Genomic DNA, 20,662 nt, shown 5'->3' with positions numbered 1-20,662 from the left:
AAATCCTAATCGTAATAGACCTAGCCTTCAGAAGGCCCTTCAGGGGAGCACCATGCCTTTCTAGCTGTGCTTCCCAAGTGCCCTCCCACCCTGGCCATCTGCACTGCCTGTCCTCCTGTGTCATGTGACACAGTGAGCTTTTATTATTTGAAAGCCACTCCCCTTGAAGTTTATATTCACCCCCAAGTGGTGAGTACGGAATGCCTTTGTATTTTCCTATCTGAAGTTGGAGATACGTTTCCAGTGAGAAAACTGAGGTCAGAGGGTGCTAGAAGAGCCTCATGGAACTGAAAAAAATGTCAAGGAATCTGAGAATGAGAAGGAACTTGAGAGATCCTCTAGTCCAATCCCTTCTTTTTATCCAGTCCTTTTATTTTACAGGAAAAAAAGCCTGAGGCCCAGAAACATTAAGTGGCTTTCCCACGGCCTCACAGCTGGTTGACGGCCTGGCCGGAACCCAGGTCCCTCGACTCCCAGCCATGATACCATATAGCTTTCTCATACCTAAGCCAAAGCCAGCTTTTCTCTGCATGTTTCTTAAAGATCCTAAGAGATGATGGATGTGCTAATCCCTTTAGGAGTCCTCTTCACTGTCTCAGTCTTCACAATTAAAATGTTCGTCGTCAGTCGGCCCGGTTCACTGCAGCTGAAACTCGTTTCTTCCAGTCTTTTCTCAAACTTTACCCAAGGCTGTGAGGTCATAATGAAGAAAATAGTATAACACACTTGCAGATCTTTTCATTAAACTATTGATAGATATTTGATACAAATCACTAAGCAGCATGATAAATAAAAACGTTTATCATTTAGAAAAGAGGAAAAGAGGCCGGGCGCGGTGGCTCACACCTGTAATCCCAGCACTTTGGGAGGCCGAGGCGGGCGGATCACAAGGTCAGGAGATCGAGACCATCCTGGCTAACACGGTGAAACCCCCGTCTCTACTAAAAAATATATAAAAAATTAGCCAGGCATGGTGGCGGGCGCCTGTAGTCCCAGCTACTCAGGAGGCTGAGGCAGGAGAATGGCGTGAACCTGGGAGGCGGAGCTTGCAGTGAGCCGAGATCGCGCCACTACACTCCAGCTTGGGTGACAGAGCGAGACTCCGTCTCAAAAAAAAGAAGGAAAAGAAGTCTCAGATTGATGCTCAAATTTTGCAGTAATAATATTAAGTAATCTTGATATTCACCTGGATAGCATGTCTCTTGATTGCCTCCAAAGTAAAATCCCCATTCTGGTTGGCTTCTTTGAATGCAGTGCTGCTCCTAACACCCCTCCTCACATGTGCCCTTTAAGGACTCCACCTTTCTCGCACATGTGGTTTCATCCTTGAGCTTGAGCCTCACTGGTCAGAACCACAGGATCGACCAAGGGCTCTGATACAGACTCTCATTATCCCATTTATCTGAGCTAGCAACAGTTAGTTCTTTTTAAAGATTCAACAATGCTTTTATTACTTTTTTAAGGTCTTTTTTCCTCCTTCCAAAGTTGTGTATTTGGGGGAAGGGCAGGGAAAGGGATGTAAATGCTTAAGTGTTTCTATGAACCAGAAGTGACTAGGGTAGGGTTACAGGCAGGTCAAATGACATTTGTTTGGATGCATTACATTTAAGCAACCTTCTGTTCATCAGGCTTTAGCAGAAATGGATTCACCTTCTGTAGTGCATCTATTTTAGTTTCCCTTAACCCTATTCACTAAGCCTTTTTGAGCAACTACCAAGAATCAGCCCCGTGTTGGGTGCTGGTGTACAAATGCCCTCAGACTAGTGTGAGAGGCAGAAGGAATTACATAAATGCTATAGCACAGATGTGTGGAGAGGGTCTGGGGCTCAAGAAAAGCCACCCAGGAGCTGGGGACAATTTGCATTAAAAAAAAAAGTATAGAGAAAGTGAAATCAAAACAGTGCTTTCTAAAATTTAAAATGGGGCTTCCAAATTTGAAATGGGGATGTTCATCTAGACTTAGCAATTGTCATAAATTGGCATTTTACATACTTTTAAAAAATTAATAAAAGTGTAAGGAAGAACATTTCAATTGCTTTTACCACCCACAGACAACCATTATTGGATGATTTTTCTCAAATGTTTCTCCATTTTATTTATTTATACAGTGGAGATCAAATATGTAAAATTTTGTTTCCTACATGTTTTTTTGATTTTTACCTAACAAGCATTTTTCCACTCTATGGCAAATCTTCATATGCATTATTTTAATAGCTGCATAATATTCTGTTTTGCAGGTAAATTATCTTTTAGGCCATTTTCCATGACTGGACAATATGTGGATATACTCTAATAGTAACACACATTCGTGGCCTTTCTCATAAAAAATCATTACAAATTTCCAATTTCTACAATTGCTCATGGAGGACAACTAAAGCCTTGGCTAAAAACTTAGCGACTTAAGTGTGAAACACAGACACCTCCCCAGTAAATTGTTTACTTGTCCAGAACGCCCACCTCCAGCCATGTCACAGAACCATGTACAACTCTTCCTTAGAGAAGCGGCTCTCCGCCTTCATTTTCTTGTCTCTGTTGTAGGTAATATATTTGACACCAGGAGAGAAAACACGGAGGACACAGAACCAGGTTTCATTGCCTAGACTTTGATTTTAGTGACATTGTTGAGTGGCATATGTAACTTCCGTTTGAATTTCCACAAAGATCCACGTAGCATTTCAGGTTCCTGCAAAGTGTGGGTGTTCTGTCAAGCTTACCTGTCATGTTTGAATAGTTTCATATACTTTCTTTGTAATGTGTGATAACCAAGCCTCCAATCTGGTATAAGATTTTTTAAATCATTTTTAGGGTTGATTTGTTACCCTTTAAAAGTCCAGCATATGATTCAGTGAGTTCATTGTCCATTATAAAGAAGTGGTTCTCTCTTCCCTGTTTTCATTCAAAACCTCAGTATGAATATAGAGCTTTGAAACGTATTTATTTTAATGTAAATTGCTTAGATGCAGTATAAAGGAGAATGGCTCTTTCCAGTGCTGAGAGAGCAGTTGTGAAGGCCAAGATTAATTAGACCTTCATCATCTTAGAAGATGAAAAAGTTGTTTTGGGAGATAGGATAGCTCTGACCTGTAAGATGAAATCATTCATGACGTCAGTGCCCCCCAAATAGCCATTTGTAACTGAGTAAGTGCAAATGACCTATGAGTTCTTAGGAAAGAAAAACCTTTCACCTAAGTTGCGTCAACACAATGACAAAATAACTAATTAAAAGGTGAGAAAACCAGTAAATTATCTACATGATACCTGACAGCCATTTTAACAGATGGTCTTAACGGAGTGCTACAGGGTTTTGGCACCATGTGGTAACTAGCTAAAAATGTACTTAATATTATGTCATTTATTTGGTTCCTAGTATACTTGCCCTCCACTTTATATAAAACTAATTTATGAAAATCTGGATTTATTTTAAAAAGATATCTTGCCATGAAGGTATTTGTTTTATAGAAATATTTACCTCCAGATTTCTTTCTCTAATAAGATGGTGAATTTAAAACACTGTGTTATTTAGAAACACTGCATTTACACTTCATTTATTGTATAAAGCAAATTGCATTGAATCTTCGCCACTTGACCCAAAGGCCAAAAATTGGCATGAGAACAATTTGGACTACACATCACCAAACCCGGGGTTCACACCTGTCCACTAGCAGTTCCAGTGCCTTCCCCTAGCCCTGGATTTGGCAAAGCACAGAATGTTAAGAGCTAAAAGTTATTGTAGAGGCTACTCAGTCCCACCCGGGAAACTGAGGATGAATGAGGGTAAGCGGTTGCCCAGAGCCCGTTAACCCCTCCGTGGCTGGGGCCCTGCCTAGAACCCGAATTTCCTGACTACCCTGTCCAAGGTATTCATGTCACATCACACTGAAACGCTAAACCTAGAGATAGGAGAGGCCCTCTGGGATAAATCCCTGTTCCACCAAAGACCAGCCAGTCATCAAAGATGAGAGAAGGCATCCCTGTACTGTAACAAAAAGCTGGCTTTAGGCGTGGCTTGTAGAATCAATCTAACTACTAGACAAGTTACATCTCATATATGTGTGGCTTCTTTTTCTTCTTTTGGGGGGCTACAAGGAAGGTTTGGAGAAATTATTTCCATCATACCTTTTTGTTAGCCTTTTTCCATTTCTGGCCAGTAAGTAATCCCGTTCCTGACAACAGTCCCTTTGTTTTCTCAAGTGGTCTGATGAAGGACTGCAAACCACAGCTCTTGTGTTTTTTGCACCATGGGTTTTAAAATCCGTCCTCTGCCTCCCACAAGGAGCTACTACCCAAGGGAAGGGAGAAGATTAATTGGTGACCTTTCGCCGTGTTAAAATAGGATGAGTATGTTGCTGGTCAAGGCAGAAACGCTAACTTCCAACTGTGGTCTGTTAAGAGATCTGCTGGGAACCTTCAGAAGCACTGCCTTCCAAGGCGGGGCCACAGCTTGGGGTGTTCAGCACTTGAGGACGGGTGGAGCTTGTTCAACCCAAAGATGTGTGCGATGAACGGATCTACACACTGGAAATACGTATCAAAACTGCAACAGCAAAATCATATTTTGTAAATTAAAATTGTGTTTACTTACTGTGACTACTGTTCAGTCTTTATTCAGAAACCTTTTTATAGGCTTTCTTAGCAAAAAAAAAATCCATATCTATGGATAATGTCTCAATCTTCTGTATATATGTTTTATTAATATGTAAATATTTAGATTTTTTAAAATTACTATGTTCTTTAAAAAAGAATTCAATGCAAGCCTGGTTGTGAAAATGGTGTATAACATTGTGTTGTGGTATCAATTCCCAAGATGCTCTTTATGTCTGATCTGGAAGAATACAATAAATTACTTTAATTGAACGTGCGTGCGGATCTTGCCTGTGTGCCGGTCTTCCTGTGTTTATGAAGAGAAGTCAGTGCTGTTCATTAATTAAAAGGTATCATTAATACTCTGATGATCTCCCACAGAAGTTATATCTCCTGATGAAGTTAATTTTTAAAAATAAAGAGACCACCTAGATTGCTGCCAGAGTGAAAGGCTTCAGACGCTGGAAAGGCTGTGTCTGGCTGTTAGATCAATGGCTACAGCAAGTCCCACAGAAACACTTGAGCGTTAAGTACAGAGATGCTTGAAGCCTAATTTTAAATGAATTAGGTAGCTTTATAATCTTCACTTAAAAGGTTAAGCCCTGCTTCTATGGAAACAACACATCAGACGGACAAATCAATCTTCTCCGATGCTGAGCGGCTGCAGCCGCAGAATCGCTCGCTTCCCCTCTTTGAACACAGGAGGGCGCCACTCCTCGCCGGGCACCTGCCCCCCGCCGCCTCCCGCGGGCGTGCTCTGTCCCCTGCTCTGAGCGGGCCGCACCAGCGGGCTGGAATCCAGCTTCTTCGGAGGTTCAATTCAGGGTCTGACTCTGGGCCCCTGGTTTTACAGGGGCCTGGGACAGCTGTGAGGAGAGGCGGGCGGGTAGGGGCAGGAGCTGCTGCCTGGGAAGGCACCCGCACCTGGGCAGGGAGCCACAGGGCGAGCTGTTGCAAAAACAGATGTGGGCTCCAGCCCGTGAGTCTTGCAGGTGTCCGCGCTGCTCTGAAGCTGGAGTCAGGCTCCAGTCCTCGCCTCTGCCCTGATGCCCCCAGCTTCCTGGGGTCCCTTGTGTCAGGGACCCACGTCATATCTTTTGGCCCAAGGCCTCTGGGATGCCCTTGATCCCACAGGGCTGGCAGGGATGGGTGCTTTGAGGTATCCTGGCAGAACAGCTCGAAGACCTCTCTAACCCAATGGCCAGGGGACCCCATTTCGCCACAGGAGGCTCCCCTGGAAGACGCTTGCACACCTGCCTCAGTCGTCACCTCTCCTATCCTCCAGCCGCCAAACCCCCCTCCCCAAGGATCTGGGGACACAGCTGGCTCATTTCCCAGCAGCACCCGAGTTCAGCTGCACCATTTTACTGAACACCAACTGGGCAGACACTGTGGGTGTTTAGGGCGACTGGTTTCGGGATAAAAGAGAAAAGACGGGCGAGAGGGGAGGCGGGGCCAAGTCCTGGCACTAAACTGTGCTAGCCTTGCGCCATGCCGAGGGGCTGGGACGGCGCGGGCAGCCGCGGAGCATCTGAAGGGAAAGGTGTTGATCGGAGTCCTATCTTAGGTCGATCCGCCTGGCTGAAGCAGGGAGCATTCGCAGGAGGGGGCGGGCTGAAGACAAGGGATCCCAAGAAGAGGCTGTTGGAAGGGGCTCAAAACCCACAAAGCCACGCCTGAGAAAGAATCAGCTCAGGCTGGAGGAGGGAGAATGTGTCAAAGCTGACACCAAGTTTCTGGCTGACGAACCAGGAGGGGTGTCACTTGCACTCACTAAGATAAGGACACAGGGTGTGACGATTTGGAGGAGACAGGTGAGTTACTCCATTCATTCATTCATTCACTCATTCATTCATTCCACAGGTGCTTGTGGTGGGCCCTGCACTGTTCTGCCGGGTGGGAGTGCAGCGGTGACCCTAGTCTTGCAGAGCTCACCTCAGACAATGTCACAAGAAAAGGGACAGATGGCAGAACCCTGGGAGGAGCAGCATCTCGTGCTCCTGAACAACCTTACCAGAGACAGAGCTGAAACAGGAGCTTTGTCCCAAACCAGCCAAGACTTCAAGCACCATTCATTCCTCATAACTCAGGTCTCAGCTACACTTCATCATCAGAGAGGGATTCGCAACTTTCCCACGCCAGGCTCAGCCAAGTCTCTTACCCTTCACATCTCTTGCCTCTCTCTCTGAAATTATCTTGCTTATTTATGTGTGTGTGTATCACCCATCTTTCCACTGGAATCTGAGCCTTGTGATGTCAGGCTGTTAAGATTTCAGGCCCTGGTGAAAACATGTTCAGGATGCCCTCTCTCCCCTTTGCCCAGCAAGAGTGGACTGATTAAAGTTGGACCTGAGGTTTCCATGAATATGCAACCGAGTCATTCTGACGACAGTGAGTCCTGGCCTCCCAGTGCTGCCAGTTACCAGAAGTGACTCCCCTTCTCCCATCAGCCCAAACCCAGAGCCTTTATCACAGAACCCAAGATTGAGAGGAGGGTCAGGCTGGTTGGACAGTGGCCTTATCATGGGATGGATGGATCAGGAGCCTTTTACAGCGCTCTCCTTTCCGCTGTATCCCATTGTCTTAGATCACGTGGACTTGCCTTTTCCCCTAATACCGCCCCCTCAGTGCTCTTCTATAATTGGAGAAATTGTGTCAATAGATCGACCAAAGAGATGCAGGTTGTACTCCATGAGAATTTAATAAACGCTAGCGATTCAAAGCAACTTGAATTTACACAGATCAACTCCTATTATGTTTTGTAACCTCAAATGCGTGAAATTGATTATCCCCCCGAAAGTAATATATACAGATATGTGTGTATATAAATATTTATTTCTATTTTGTTATTGGTGAAATTAAAAAGAATGTTTAAATGAATCACAGTTTTAAAAAAAAAGAATGTTCTGGCCGGGCGCTGCGGCTCACACCTGTAATTTGGGAGGCTGAGGTGGGCGGATCACGAGGTCAGGAGTTCGAGACTAGCCTGACCAACATGGTGAAACCCCGTCTCTACTAAAAATACAAAATTAGCCATCCTGGTGGTGGGTGCCTGTAATCCCAGCTACTCAAGAAGCCGAGGCAGGAGAATCGCTTGAACCCGGGAGGCGGAGGTTGCAGCGAGCCAAAATCACACCACTGCACTCCAGCCTGGACAACAGAGCGAGACTCCGTCTCAAAAAAAAAAAAAAAAAAAAAAAGAACGTTCTAGAAATGGAGCTTGGAGTGGGTAGTGCCCCACATGCTTTACACACACTGATATTCCAAATAGACCTGATAGTTAAAGGCCTTTTTAATTGTTTTATTTTTGGCCATTTTGGACTGTTCACTGAAACATGGAAAGGCATTTTAAACCTAAACTTTGAAACTAAGCTACTTTATGATTTCTTTCAAATGCTTTCCAAAAGCGAAGCTGATACAAGCGCAATCAAAGGAGGAGTAGTCGGAAACCAGCCGTCTAGCCTTGCATTTGTGTGTATCCTCCAACACGGTGCCAAGACATTCAAAACATGGAGCGCCCTCCCCGTGAACTGGAGTGAAAAATGACTTTACACAGGAAATTAAGCATCCTAAGTTGTTTCACTGAAGTGGTGGCCCAGTTGCAGGTTCAGTTAGAAAAACTATTTTCTGCTATACTCTAGCAATGGAGGGAGAAAGAGAATACATTAAAATAGAGGACACTTACTCTGTGTATTATCAAATTAAGTACCCTCCAAAAATGATGTATTTCTAACCACTAGACAGAGAACATCAGAAGTGACTCAATTAACAAAACCCAGGCTAACCCCGTCCCCCTCCGGTGATGCACACGGTAACGGTGCTCTGTCCTTCTGGGAAATATTTCACTAGTGTGAGCTATACCACTTTCTCCCCCTCCTGCCTCTCCCTGATGCTTCCTAGAACATGGACCGATAGCCACAGGCAGCTTTGACTCTTGTTCAGATTCCGTGTTTGTTTTTATCATCATACCATGCGATGTTCCAGTGCGTTTGTCCTTCCTACCTGCCCCCATTAATGTTGCCTGGCAACCTTAACCACAGCCCGTTCCTCCCGTGCCTTGCCCCAGTGGGATCGGTTCACTAGTCATGGCACAGTGGACTTATTTTAAATGTTCGACTGACTCCCGGACACTGGCTGGACACTGATTTCTAGCCAGGAGCCTGCGTGCACCATGACCCTGTCGTTATGATAGCATACAGCTTTAGAAAGTAAACACTCTCTGGCCGGGCATGGTGGCTCACACCTGTAATCCCAGCACTTTGGGGGACTGAGGCGGAGGGAGGATCACAAGATCAGGAGTTCAAGAACAGCCTGGCCAAGATGGTGATACCCCGTCTCTACTAAAACTAAAAAAAATTAGCCAGGCACAGTGGCAGGTGCCTGTAATCCCAGCTACTCAGGAGGCTGAGGCAGGACAATTGCTTGAACCTGAGCAGCAGAGGTTGCGGTGAGCTGAGATGGCGCCACTGCACTCCAGCCTGGGCGACAGAGTGAGACTCCGTCTCAAAAAAAGAAAAGAAAAAAAAAAGTGAACACTCTCAAAGACCAAGAGACAACTTTTGATTGGAAAGCATCCAGTGACTTCAGGGGTAGGGATGAGGAGGTGGCGGAAGCTGGCGAAATTAGTCGAAGCCATTGGAAAGACTGAATGCAGGTGTGTTCATCCATTTTCACACTGCTATAAAGAAATACCCGAGACTGGGTAATTTATAAAGGAAAGCGGTTTCATTTACTCACAGTTCCACGTGGCTGGGGAGGCCTCAGGAAACGTACAGTCATGGCAAAAGGTGAAGGAGAAGCAAGCACCTTCTTCACAAGGGGGCAGGAAACAGAAAACGAAGGAGGAGCTGCCAAACAGAAAACCATCAGATCTCGTGAGAACTCTCTCACTATCACGAGAACAGTTTGAGGAAACCACCCCATGATCCAACCACCTCCCATCAGGTCCCTCCCTTGACACGTGGGAATTACAATTCAAAATGAGATTTGAGTGGGGACACAGAGCCAAACCATATCAGCAGGAGAAAAGCCCCTCCAAAAAAATGCTTTAAAAAATGTGAGAGAGTGGTTGAGTGCAGTGGCTCAATCCTCTAATCCCAGTGCCTTGAGAGGCCAAAGTAGGAGGACTGCTTGAGGCCAGGAGTTCAAGACCAGCCTGAACAGCATAGCGAGATAACCATTTCTTTTTTTTTTTTTTTTAAGACAGAGTCTCGCTCTGTCACCCAACCTGGAGTGCAGTGGCATGATCTCAGCTCACTGCAACCTCTGCCTCCCAGGTTCAAGCAATTCTTCTGCCTCAGCCTCCCAAGTAACTGGGATTACAGGCATGCGCCACCACACCTGGCTAGTTTTTGTATTTTTAGTAGAAACAGGGTTTCACCATGTTGGCCAGGCTGGTCTCGAACTGTTGACCTCAGGTGATCCGCCTGCCTTGGCCTCCCACAGTGCTGGGATTACAGGCATGAGCCACTGCGCCCGGCCAAGACCCCGTTTCTTTAAAAAAAAAATTGCTGGGCGGTGGTGTGAGCCCATAGTCCCAGCAACTTGGGAAACTGAGACAGAAGGATCCCTTGAGCCCAGGAGGTTGAGACTGCAGTGAGCTATGATTGTAACACTGCACTCCAGCCTGGTTGACAGTGAGCCCGTCTCCAAAAAAAAAAAAAAAAAAAAAAAAAAAATCTCTAAATAGTATGTGCTGCTTTTGCATTGAGAAGGGAAAGTTTTTTTTTTTCTCAATATATACTAGTATAGAAGAATATTGAATGGCATAGAGGAATGTTCATGATACACTTACTGTTACATAATATGTTCTGCCTGCTTGTATTTTTTTAATTTCAAAAACACTTATTTTTATAGTTAGTTGTGATTGTAACTACAGACTAATTGCAGCATCCAAAAACTATGTACCAATAGCTGCCTACAGCTTTAAAAAGGTATAGACAATGTGTTAATTAACCAGCGCCTGATCCCTTTTTTTCCTTTTTTTTTTTTTTTTTTTTTTTGAGACAGAGTCTTGCTTTGTTGCCCAGGCTGGAGTGCAGTGGCACGATCTCAGCTCACTGTAACCTCCGCCTCCCGGGTTCAAGCGATTCTCCTGCCTCAGCCTCCTGAGTAGCTGGGATGACAGGCATGTGCCACCACAACTGGCTGATTTTTGTATTTTTAGTAGAGATGGGGTTTCACCATATTAGTCAGGCTGGTCTCAAACTCCTGACCTCGTGATCTGCCCGCCTCGGCCTCCCAAAGTGCTGGGATTACAGGCGTGAGCCGCTGCGCCCAGCTGCCTGATCACATTTTTAAGAGCAGTATTTATAAGCATGTACAGAAAAAAGAAGGAAGTTGTTAACAGTGGTTACCTCTGGCTGGTAGAATTGCAGGTGATTTTTAAAAATTATATGTTTTAAGTATTCTAAAATGAACACGTATCATTTACTAAAAAAAAAAAAAAAGAAAGGTAAAGGAAAAAACTCAGTGGCATATGTATCAGTATATATGTAATGCTTACTGCTTGGATACTGTTAGGAAAACCTGAAATATCTTGAAATATAACAGGCTTCTCGTGTATCACATAAACTCCAATGAAAACTTCAGCATCCAGCTCCTTGTTACTCCCATAATATGTACATCAAACCCATTTACAGAACTCTGGAGGTTAATGCTTTACTTTGAAGGAAAAAAAATCACTCTGAAGCTTAAGAGCAAAAGGATATCCTCTCTGCAGTTTGAAAGGAAACTGGAGACAGAGCTTTATAAAAAATGCATTAGTTGCAAGCCGAGAAGAAACCCATCTGAGGTGTGAGTGCATTTGACACATCAGTTCAAAAAACAATACAGCCAAGACCTTTGGAATTTGGAGAGAAAGACTAAGAAAAATAAAATGTGGGATGGGTTGCTGTAAACAAGTCCAAGAACCTAACGAGTTCAGGCCACGATGGTGCTCTCGTATGCTTCTTCCTGATCTATGCAGTTTTACACAGACCTGGCAGGTGATGTGCTTTGGAGAAACAGATTTGCAACTCTCAAGCCATGTATAGTGTCAACTCCCTCTGAATACTGTCAAACACATATCAGACTTGCATTGCAAGTTGGACACTGCTCCTTTTTTTGAGTTTTGCTCTTGTTGCCCAGGCTGGAGTGCAATGGCGCGATCTTGGCTCACCGCAACCTCCGCCCCCGGGTTCAAGCGATTCTCCTGCTTCAGCCTCCTGAGTAGCTGGGATTACAGGCATGCACCACCATGCCTGGCTAATTTTGTATTTTTAGTAGAGATGGGTTTTCTCCATGTTGGTCAGACTGGTCTCAAACTCCCCACCTCAGATGATCCGCCCACTTCAGCCTCCCAAAGTGCCGGGATTACAGGTGTGAGCCACCACGCCCAGCCACTGGGCACTGTTCTTAAGCTTCATTCCTGCAGTTTAACTCAGGTCATCCTTGAAACCATCTGTATTAGGGTTCTCTAGAGGGACAGAACTAATAGGATATATATATATACACTATACATATATATATATAAACGTATATATATGTGTGCGTATATATATATGTATATATATGTGTGTGTATATGTGTGTGTGTGTGTGTGTGTGTGTATATATATATATATATATATATATATATATATATATATATAAAGGGGAGTTTATTAAGTATAAATTTGCATGATCACAAGGTCCCAAAATAGGCCATCTGCAGGCTGAGGAGCAAGGAGAGCCCGTTTGAGTCCCAAAACTGAAGAACCTGGAGTCTGATGTTCAAGGGCAGGAAGCATCCAGCATGGGAGAAAGATGTAGGCTGGGAGGCTAGGACAGTCTAGCCTTTTCACATTTTTCTGCCTGCTTTATATCCTGGCCTCACTGGCAGCTGATTAGATGGTGCCCACCCAGATTAAGGGTGGGTCTGCCTTTCCCAGCCCATGGACTCAAATGTTAATCTCCTTTGGTAACCCTCTCACAGACACATTCAGGATCAATACTTTGCATCCTTCAATCCAATCAAGTTGACATTCAGTATTAACCATCACACCATCCTGTAAAGTAGATACCACTCCTGTCCCCACTTAACAGATGAAAGAAATTAGGCACCTTCTTCTAGCTCACATAACTAAGAAGGAGTTTTTTTAGCCAGGATTGAACCTAGGGAATATGACTCCAACTCACATTCTTAGCATCTGTTTTGCCCGTCAAGTAGCCTTATTAGTGGAGAGAAGTATCCAGAATAACCCCAGTGGGGGCCCAGCCCATGTGATTTGCCTTTACAGTGATCTTTATACTTCTATTTGCATGAAAGCATTGCACTAGGAATGATAACACATGTTGATTAAATGCTTCTTATGAGCTAGGCATTGTCATAAGTATTTTACAGATAACGATTCCGTTATCCATTATAAGCCTGGAAGTACTATTATACCCATCCCCACTTCACAGGTGAGAAGACTGAGTTACACAGAGCTTAAGTAACTTGCCCAAAGTCACATAGTTAACAAGTAGCAGAGCCAGGATCCAACCCCAGACCTTCTGATCTAGAGCCTGTACAGCTGATCTCTATGCTGTGGGATGTACTTCCAGAGAAATGTGTTGCCTACTGGTTCTGTGTCAGGCCTTGTTTAAAGTGTGCTATTTGAATCATCTCTTTGGAAATGTCCCTAACTAACACACTGCCAGAAAGAGGCTGGGAAGTAGTGTCTTCAACCTGACAGCTGGTTCTCTATTAAAATGTTTCCGGGCCGAGGGCAGTGGCTCACACCTATAATCTCAGCACTTCGGGAGGCCAAGGTGGGCAGATCACGAGGTCAAGAGATTGAGACCATCCTGGCCAACATGGTGAAACCCCATCTCTACTAAAAATACAAAAATTAGCCGGACGTGGTGTTGGGCGCCTGTAATCCCAGCTACTCGGGAGGCTGAGGCAGGAGAATCGCTTGAACCCAGGAGGTGGAGGTTGCAGTGAGCTGAGATCAATCCACTGCCCTCCAGCCTGGCGACAGAGCGAGACTCTGTCTCAAAAAGAAAAAAAAATTTCCAAGGGAACCTAGCAGACTGATTCCAAGAGGGAGCTTTTGATCAGAATGACCAGTATGAAAATAAGTACTGGCTATATCATATATATATATATTTTTTTTTTTTTTTTGAGACAGAGTATTGCTCTATCACCCAGGCTGAAGTGCAGTGGTGCGATCTTGGCTCACTGCAACTTCTGCCTCCCCAGTTCAAGAGATTCTCCTGCCTCAGCCTCCCGAGTAGCTGGAATTACAGGCACATGCCACCACGTCTGGCTAATTTTTGTATTTTTAGTAGAGACGGGGTTTCACCACATTGGCCAGGCTGTTCTCAAACTCCTGACCTCAAGTGATCCTCCCGCCTCAGCCTCTCAATCTAGCATTTATTAATAAAGCTCTGGTGCCTTTTTTTCCTTCATTCCCCACCCCCTGACCCCCTGCCCTCTCCATCATCCATCCATCCACCAAAAGAATTAGGGGAGACTGAGATGGCAGGCAAACTATCCCCAGAATGGTGAAAGCCACCAAAATCACTGGGAACCCTCACTTTAGTGGGGAGACGTTTGCTGCAGGTGGCTGGGGGAGCAGGAAAGAGGTGAGGCTGTTGAACAGTGCTCCTGGAAAGGGGATTCCCTAGACCAACAACATCGGCATCACCTGGAAATGTAATAGAAATGCAATATCTCTAGCCCCAGCTCAGACCAACAGCTCAGAGGCTCTGGGAGTGGGACTGGTGTGTTTCATGATGCCCTCCAGGTGATCCTGGAGCACACTCAAGTTTGGGAACTACAGCCCTAGGAGATGTGGAAGATAGGGCAAGGCCCCAACCTCAGAGCCCTGATTGGGATATGAGTGACTTGGAAGTAGTAATAATTAGGTGGGAACTCTCCCTCAGCGAATTAGAGCAAATTCCGTTTTCCCTGTGATAGCATCACTGTCCCTTACTTTCTGATGGAGACATCTAAGTGGCATGACAGAAGCATCTGGAAGGGCCAATCCCCCGGGTGAACCTCTGGAGGTGGGTCAAGCCTGGGAGTGCAGACAGTTAGTGTTGCTGTTGGGAAAAGTTCAACACTCGGTCCCCTCTTTGCTGTTGGGATTGAGGCCCAGCAAGGGCAAGGAAGAGGCAGAGCCAGGACCCGACACCGGAACCTCTCGCTCCCTCAGGCCACATAATCTGCCTGTCAGCGCCCTTCCCCAGCTCCTTCTTGGGCCCAGTTGTGTGTTCCTTGGACCTCGCTCTCTCCCCTCCCCTTGTACGCATGCTCTGGAGTGTACGTGCCCACCTAACTCCGCTGGCCTTGACCCTCACTCTGCCCTCTAGAACCACCTTGAGTCCCACAAACATGATGCTCCAGGAGGCCTCAGTTCCCCTTGGTTCCTCTAACAGCTCTGGCAGGTGCTCAGGGGAGACAGAGGCGCCAAGGGGAGGTAGAGGTGCCAAGGGGAGGTGGAGCAGATGAATTAGGTAAGTTCTCCTGAAGAAAAGAGTAGGGAAGAGGAGCATGGCTTGGCAGAGATATGTGGAAAGGCAAGACATAAAGGAGAAATCCACTGATACTTACAGAGGCTATTTCTTAATGCAAAGGAAAAGTACTAGTAATATAAAAACAAAATTTTTGCTAAAGTATATGGGCTACATGATCCCACTTTATTTTCCAAAGATGTATAGATTTACATAAGAGTCTGGAAATCTACATCAAAACATTTGCAGTGATTATCTCCAGATGCTGCAACTGCAATTTCTGTTTCCTTCTTTTCTTATTTTCTGCATTAAGCATTCATTGACTTTTTTCAGATATAATTCACATACCATAAAATTCACCACTTTAAGCCATGCAATTCACTGGTTTTTAATTGATTCACAAAGTTGCACAACCACCATCACCTTCTAATTCCAGAACATTCTCTTAACCCCAAGAAGAAACCCTGCTCCCCTGAGCAGTCACTCACCAACATTGCTCCGTTCCCAGCCCGAGGCAACCACAAATTACTTTCTCTCCCTTTGGATTGGTCTCTTCTGGACATTTCATATAAATGGAATCATACAATGTGTGGTCTTGTGCGACTGGTCTCTTTCACTCAGCATGTTTTCAGGGTTCACCCATGTTACAGCAGGTATCAGCACTTCATTGCTTCTTATTGCCAAATAATATTCCATTACATGGACAGACTGCATTTTATTTATCCATTTATCAGTGATAGACCTTTGAGTTATTTCCACTTTGGGGCTATTATAAATAATGCTGCTCTAAACATTTGTGTACCAGTCTTTGTGCAGACATATATGTTCAATTCTCTTGGGTATATGGGTAGGTGTGGGATTGCTGGGTCATATGGTAACTCTATGTTGAAATTTTTTTTTTTTTTTTGAGACAGGGTCTTGCTCTGTCACCCAGGCTGGAATGCAGTGGCACCATCATACCTCACTGCAGCCTCAACCACCTGGGTTCAAGCAATCCTCCCACCTTAACCTCCAGAGTAGCTGGGACTACACCACACCTGGCTAACTTTTTCTTTTTTAGAGGCTGAGTCTGACTATATTGCCCAGGCTAGTCTCAAACCCCTGGGCTCAGACCACCCTCCTGCCTCAGCTTCCCAAAGTGCTGGGATCACAGGTGTGGGCCACCACGCCTGGCCTATATTGAACTTTTTGGGGAAATACCTGTTTCCCAAAGAATCTGAACCATTTTACATTCCTACCAGCAATGTATGAGGGATCTGATGTCTCCACACACTTGCTAATACTTGTGATTGTTTGTTTTCTTATAGCCATCCTAGTGAGTGTGAAGTGGTACCTCACTGTGGTTGTGATTTGCATCTCTCTGGTGATTAATAATGCTGAGCATCTTTTTAAAATATATATTTTTACATTTTTTATATTTAATTGACAAATAACAATTGTATATAACTATGGGGTATGATGCGACACTTTGATATATGTGTACATTACGGAACGATCAAATCTAGCTAATTTACCTATTCATCACCTCACACACATCATTTTCTGTGATGAGAACATTTGAAATACATTCTCTTAACAATTTTGAAATATACTATACTTTAACTACAGTCACCATGCTGTGCAATAGATCTCAAAAACTTATTCTTTCTATGTAACTGCAACTTCGTATCTTTCGACCAACACCTGATTCCCTCCCCACTCCACCATCCCCCACTCCCAGCCCCTGGTAACCACCATTTTACTCCACATCTAAGGATTCAACATTTTTAGGTTCCACATAGAAGTGAGGTCACACAGGGCCGGGCAAGGTGGCTCACACCTGTAATCCCAGCACTTTGGGAGGCCAAAGCGGGTGGATCACCTGAGGTCAGGAGTTCGAGATTAGCCTGGCCAACATGGTGAAACCCCGTCTCCACTAAAAATACAAAAATTAGCCGGGCATGGTGGCACATGCCTATAATCCCAGCTACTCAGGAGGCTGACCCAGGACAATCGCTTGAACCCAGGAGGCGGAGGTTGCAGTGAGCTGAGGTCTTGCCATTGCACTCCAGCCTGGGTGATGAGCGAAACTCTATCTCAAAAAAAAAAAAAAAAAAAAAAAAAGTGAGGTCACAGAGTATTTGCCTTTCTGTACCTGGTTTATTTTATTTGGCATAGTGTCCTCCAGACTCATCTGTGTTGTCACAAATCACAGGATTTCCTTTTTAATAGCTGAATATGCCCCCATTGTGTATATAGACCAAATTTTCTTTATCCATTGATGGACACTTAGCTTGATTTCCCATCTTGGCTGCTGTGAATAGTGCTGCCATGAATATGAGAGTGCAGGTATCTCTTCAACAGACTGATTTTAATTCCTTTGGATATGTACCCAGTAGTGGAATTGCTGGATCATGTTCTATTTTTAGGTTTTGGGGGATCTTCCATACTGGGGTGTCTGGAGTTGGTTCCTGTCGGTGGGTTCGTGGTCTCGCTGACTTCAAGAATTGAGCTGTGGACCTTCGTGGTGAGTGTTACAGCTCTTAAAGATGGCACAGACCCAAAGAATGAATGGTAGCAAGTTTTATTGTGAAGAGTGAAAGGACAAAGCTTCCACAGCATGGAAGCGGACCCCAGAAGGTTGTTGCCTGCTGGCTGGGGTGGCCAGCGTTTATTCCCCTTATTGTCCCCACCCATGTTCCCTTTCTGTCCTATCAGAGTGCCCTTTGTTCAATCCTCCCCGCAATTGGCTACTTTTAGAATCCTGCTGATCGGTGCATTTTACAGAGTGCTGATTGGTGCGTTTTACAGAGTGCTGATTGGTGCGTTTTACAATCCTCTTGTAAGACAGAAAAGTTCCTGATTGGTGCGTTTTACAGTCCTCTTGTAAGACAGAAAGTTCCCCAAGTCCCCACTCCACCCAGGAAGTCCAGCTGGCTTCACCTCTCACTGTTATCCATAGCGGCTGTACCAATTTACATTCCCACCAACAGTGGACAAGGGTTGCCTTTTCTCCGCATCCTTGGCTACACTTGTTATCTTTGATCTTTTTGATGATAGCCATCCTAACAGGTGTGAGGTGACAGCTCATTGTGGTTTTAATTTGCATTTCTTTTTTATTTCAGTAGCTTTAGGGGTACAAGTAGTTTTTGGTTACATAGATGAATTGTACAGTGGTCAAGTCTGAGATTTTAGTACCCATCACCCAAGTAGTGTACACTGTACCCAATATGTAGTTTTTCAATCCCTCACCCCCTCCCACCCCCTCTTTCTGAGTCTTCGATGTCCATTATATCTTTGCATATGCCTTTGCATACCCATAGCTTAGCTTCCACTTATGAGTGACAACATGTGGTATTTGGTTTTTCATTCCCAAGTTCCTTCACTTGGAATAATGACCTTCAGCTCTATCCAAGTTGCTGCAAAAGACATTCTTTCTTTCTTTTTTATTGCTTAGTAGTATTCTATGGTATATGTATATTACATTTTCTTTATCCACTCATCTCTTGATGGGCACTTAGGTTGATTCCATATCTTTGCAATTGTGAATTGTACTACAATAAACATATGCATACTGTTGTCTTCCTGATATAATGACTTCTTTTCCTTTAGGTTGATACCCAGTAGTGGGATTGCCGGATCAAATGGTTCATCTGCTTGTAGTTCTTTCAGAAATCTCTATACTGTTTTCCACAGAGGTTGTACTAATTTACATTCCCACCAGCGGGATATAACCATTCCCTTTTAACTACATCCACACCATCTATTGCTTTTTGACTTTTTAATAATGGATATTCTGGTTGGGTAAGGAGGTATCTCACTGTGGTTTCAATTTGCATCTCCCTGATGATTAGTGATGTTGAGCATTTTTTCGTTGTTGGGCATTTGTATATCTTCTTTTGAGAAATGTCTATTCATGTCATTTACCTACTTTTTGATGGGATGATTTGGTTTTTTTCTTGCTGCTTTGTTTGAGCTCCTTGTAGATTCTGGATACTAGTTTTCTGTCAGATATATAGTTTGCAAATATTTTCTCCCATTCTGTGAATTGTCTGTTTACTCTGGTGATTATTTCTTTTGCTGTGCTGAAGGTTTTTAGTTTAATTAGGTCCCATGTATTTATTTTTGTTTTTATTGCATTTGCTTTTGGGAACTTAGGCACAAATTCTTTGCCTAGGCCAATGTCCAGAATAGTTTTTCCTAGGTTTTTTCCTAGAATTTTTGTAGTTTCAGGTCTTAGGTTCAAGTCTTTAACCCATCTTGAGTTGATTTTTTATATGGTGAGAGATAGAGATCTGGCTTTATTCTTCTACATGTGGCTATCAAGTTTTCCCAGCATCATTTATTGAATAGAGTGTCCTTTCTTCAATTTATGTTTTTGTATGATTTGTTGAAGATCAGTTGGTTGTAAGTATTTGACTTTATTTATGGGTTTCCCATTCTGTTCCATTGGTCTATGTATCTACTTTTATACCTGTACTATGCTGTTTTGGTAACTACAGACTTGTAGTATAATTTATAAAGTAATATGATGCTTCCAGATTTGTTCTTTTGCTTAGGATTGCTTTGAACTATTTGGGCTCTTTTTTGGTGCCATATGAATTTTAGGATTGTTTTTTCTAATTCTGTGAAAAAACAAAGTTGGTATTTTTATATGAATTGCATTGAATATGTAGATTGCACTGGGCAGTATGGTCATTTTCATGATATTGATTCTCCAATCCATGAGCATGGGATGTGTTTCCATTTGTTTGTGTCATCTATGATTTCTTCAGCAGTATTTTGTAGCTCTCCTTGTAGAGAACTTTCATCTTCTTGGTTAAGTATATCCCTAGGGTTGTTTTTGTTTTGTTTTTTGCAGCTATTGTGAAAAAGACTGAGTTCTTGATCTGATTCTCAGGTTGGCCGTTGATGAGTAGCAGTACTACTGATTTGTATACATTAATTTTGTAACCTAAGACTTTACTGAATTCATTTATCAAATCTAGAAGTATTTTGGAGAAGTCTTTGGGGTTTTCTAGGTATACAATCATATCATCAGCACACAGAGATAGTTTGACTTCTTTTCCAGTTTGGATGTCCTTTCTTTCTCTTGCCTGATTGCTCTGGCAAGGATTCCTTCATTTGCATTTCTCTGACCTGAACATCTTTCTCTGTGCTTATTGCAAAACAGAATTCTTATCTCTGTCTTGCTTAAGAGGGTACTGATCCTCAAAAAGTTTACGTGCCTTCCCAAAAACCATATAATAAAAATAGAATAATTGTTTAAATGCAGGCTCTGGAGCCAAAATCCTGGCTTTTCTACTTATTATCTGTGATGCTCAGGCCTCAGTTACCTCATCTGTGAAATGGGAGCAATCATAACTGCCTAAAAATGTGTTGTGAGATTCAGAAATAAAATGTCAAATTAACACCGCTACCTGACCCCTAAGAGAGTCACCGTATAAATGGCAGCACAATTATCATCTTCCGACAAGGCAGGGTAAGGGCTGCAAGATGTGAGGCAGATTCTCCTGACCATTCTTGCCTCTGCATGGTGGTGGACTGGCCTCTCCCTTTGCTGAATGTTTTTCCCACAGATATTAGATCAAATCTAGAGTTGTAGTTCACGGAGGGAAACAGACAAACGGGAAATCTGTATC

At 43.8% G+C, this 20,662-nt stretch overlaps 1 protein-coding gene across 43 annotated transcripts in view, besides 2 other annotated features; it reads left to right on the top strand.

The window, feature by feature from the left end:
• Window positions 1-7,461, top strand: part of BEND7 (BEN domain containing 7) — a 91,154-nt gene extending 83,693 nt beyond the window's left edge. For 16 of the 43 annotated variants that reach the window (XM_047424786.1, XM_011519393.4, XM_011519392.3 and 13 more), the window contains one exon: window positions 6,445-7,461. In XM_047424786.1, the coding sequence (XP_047280742.1) occupies window positions 6,445-6,770 (326 nt within the window). In that variant the 3' untranslated portion in view covers window positions 6,771-7,461. Of the gene's footprint in view, window positions 1-381; window positions 4,855-6,444 lie in introns of those variants that run through there. The other 27 variants (XR_930476.3, XR_002956970.2, XR_002956969.2 and 24 more) reach the window with 6 other exon arrangements.
• Window positions 5,195-5,294: a silencer, noted in NCBI's record as "silent region_2155". NCBI's record gives its function as "represses an Ori minimal core promoter by ATAC-STARR-seq in GM12878 lymphoblastoid cells {active_cell/tissue: GM12878}" and the evidence as "EXISTENCE:reporter gene assay evidence [ECO:0000049][PMID:35858748]".
• Window positions 5,632-6,359: an enhancer, noted in NCBI's record as "H3K4me1 hESC enhancer chr10:13481583-13482310 (GRCh37/hg19 assembly coordinates)". NCBI's record gives its function as "activates a minimal SCP1, AML or CMV promoter by ChIP-STARR-seq in naive H9 embryonic stem cells {active_cell/tissue: H9 hESC(naive)}" and the evidence as "EXISTENCE:reporter gene assay evidence [ECO:0000049][PMID:30033119]".
• Window positions 7,462-20,662: the final 13,201 nt, after the last annotated feature.

This window comes from Homo sapiens, chromosome 10 (genome assembly GCF_000001405.40).
Source record: "Homo sapiens chromosome 10, GRCh38.p14 Primary Assembly".
Lineage (NCBI taxonomy): Eukaryota > Metazoa > Chordata > Mammalia > Primates > Hominidae > Homo > Homo sapiens.
This window is presented reverse-complemented; position numbering and strand designations above follow the sequence as displayed.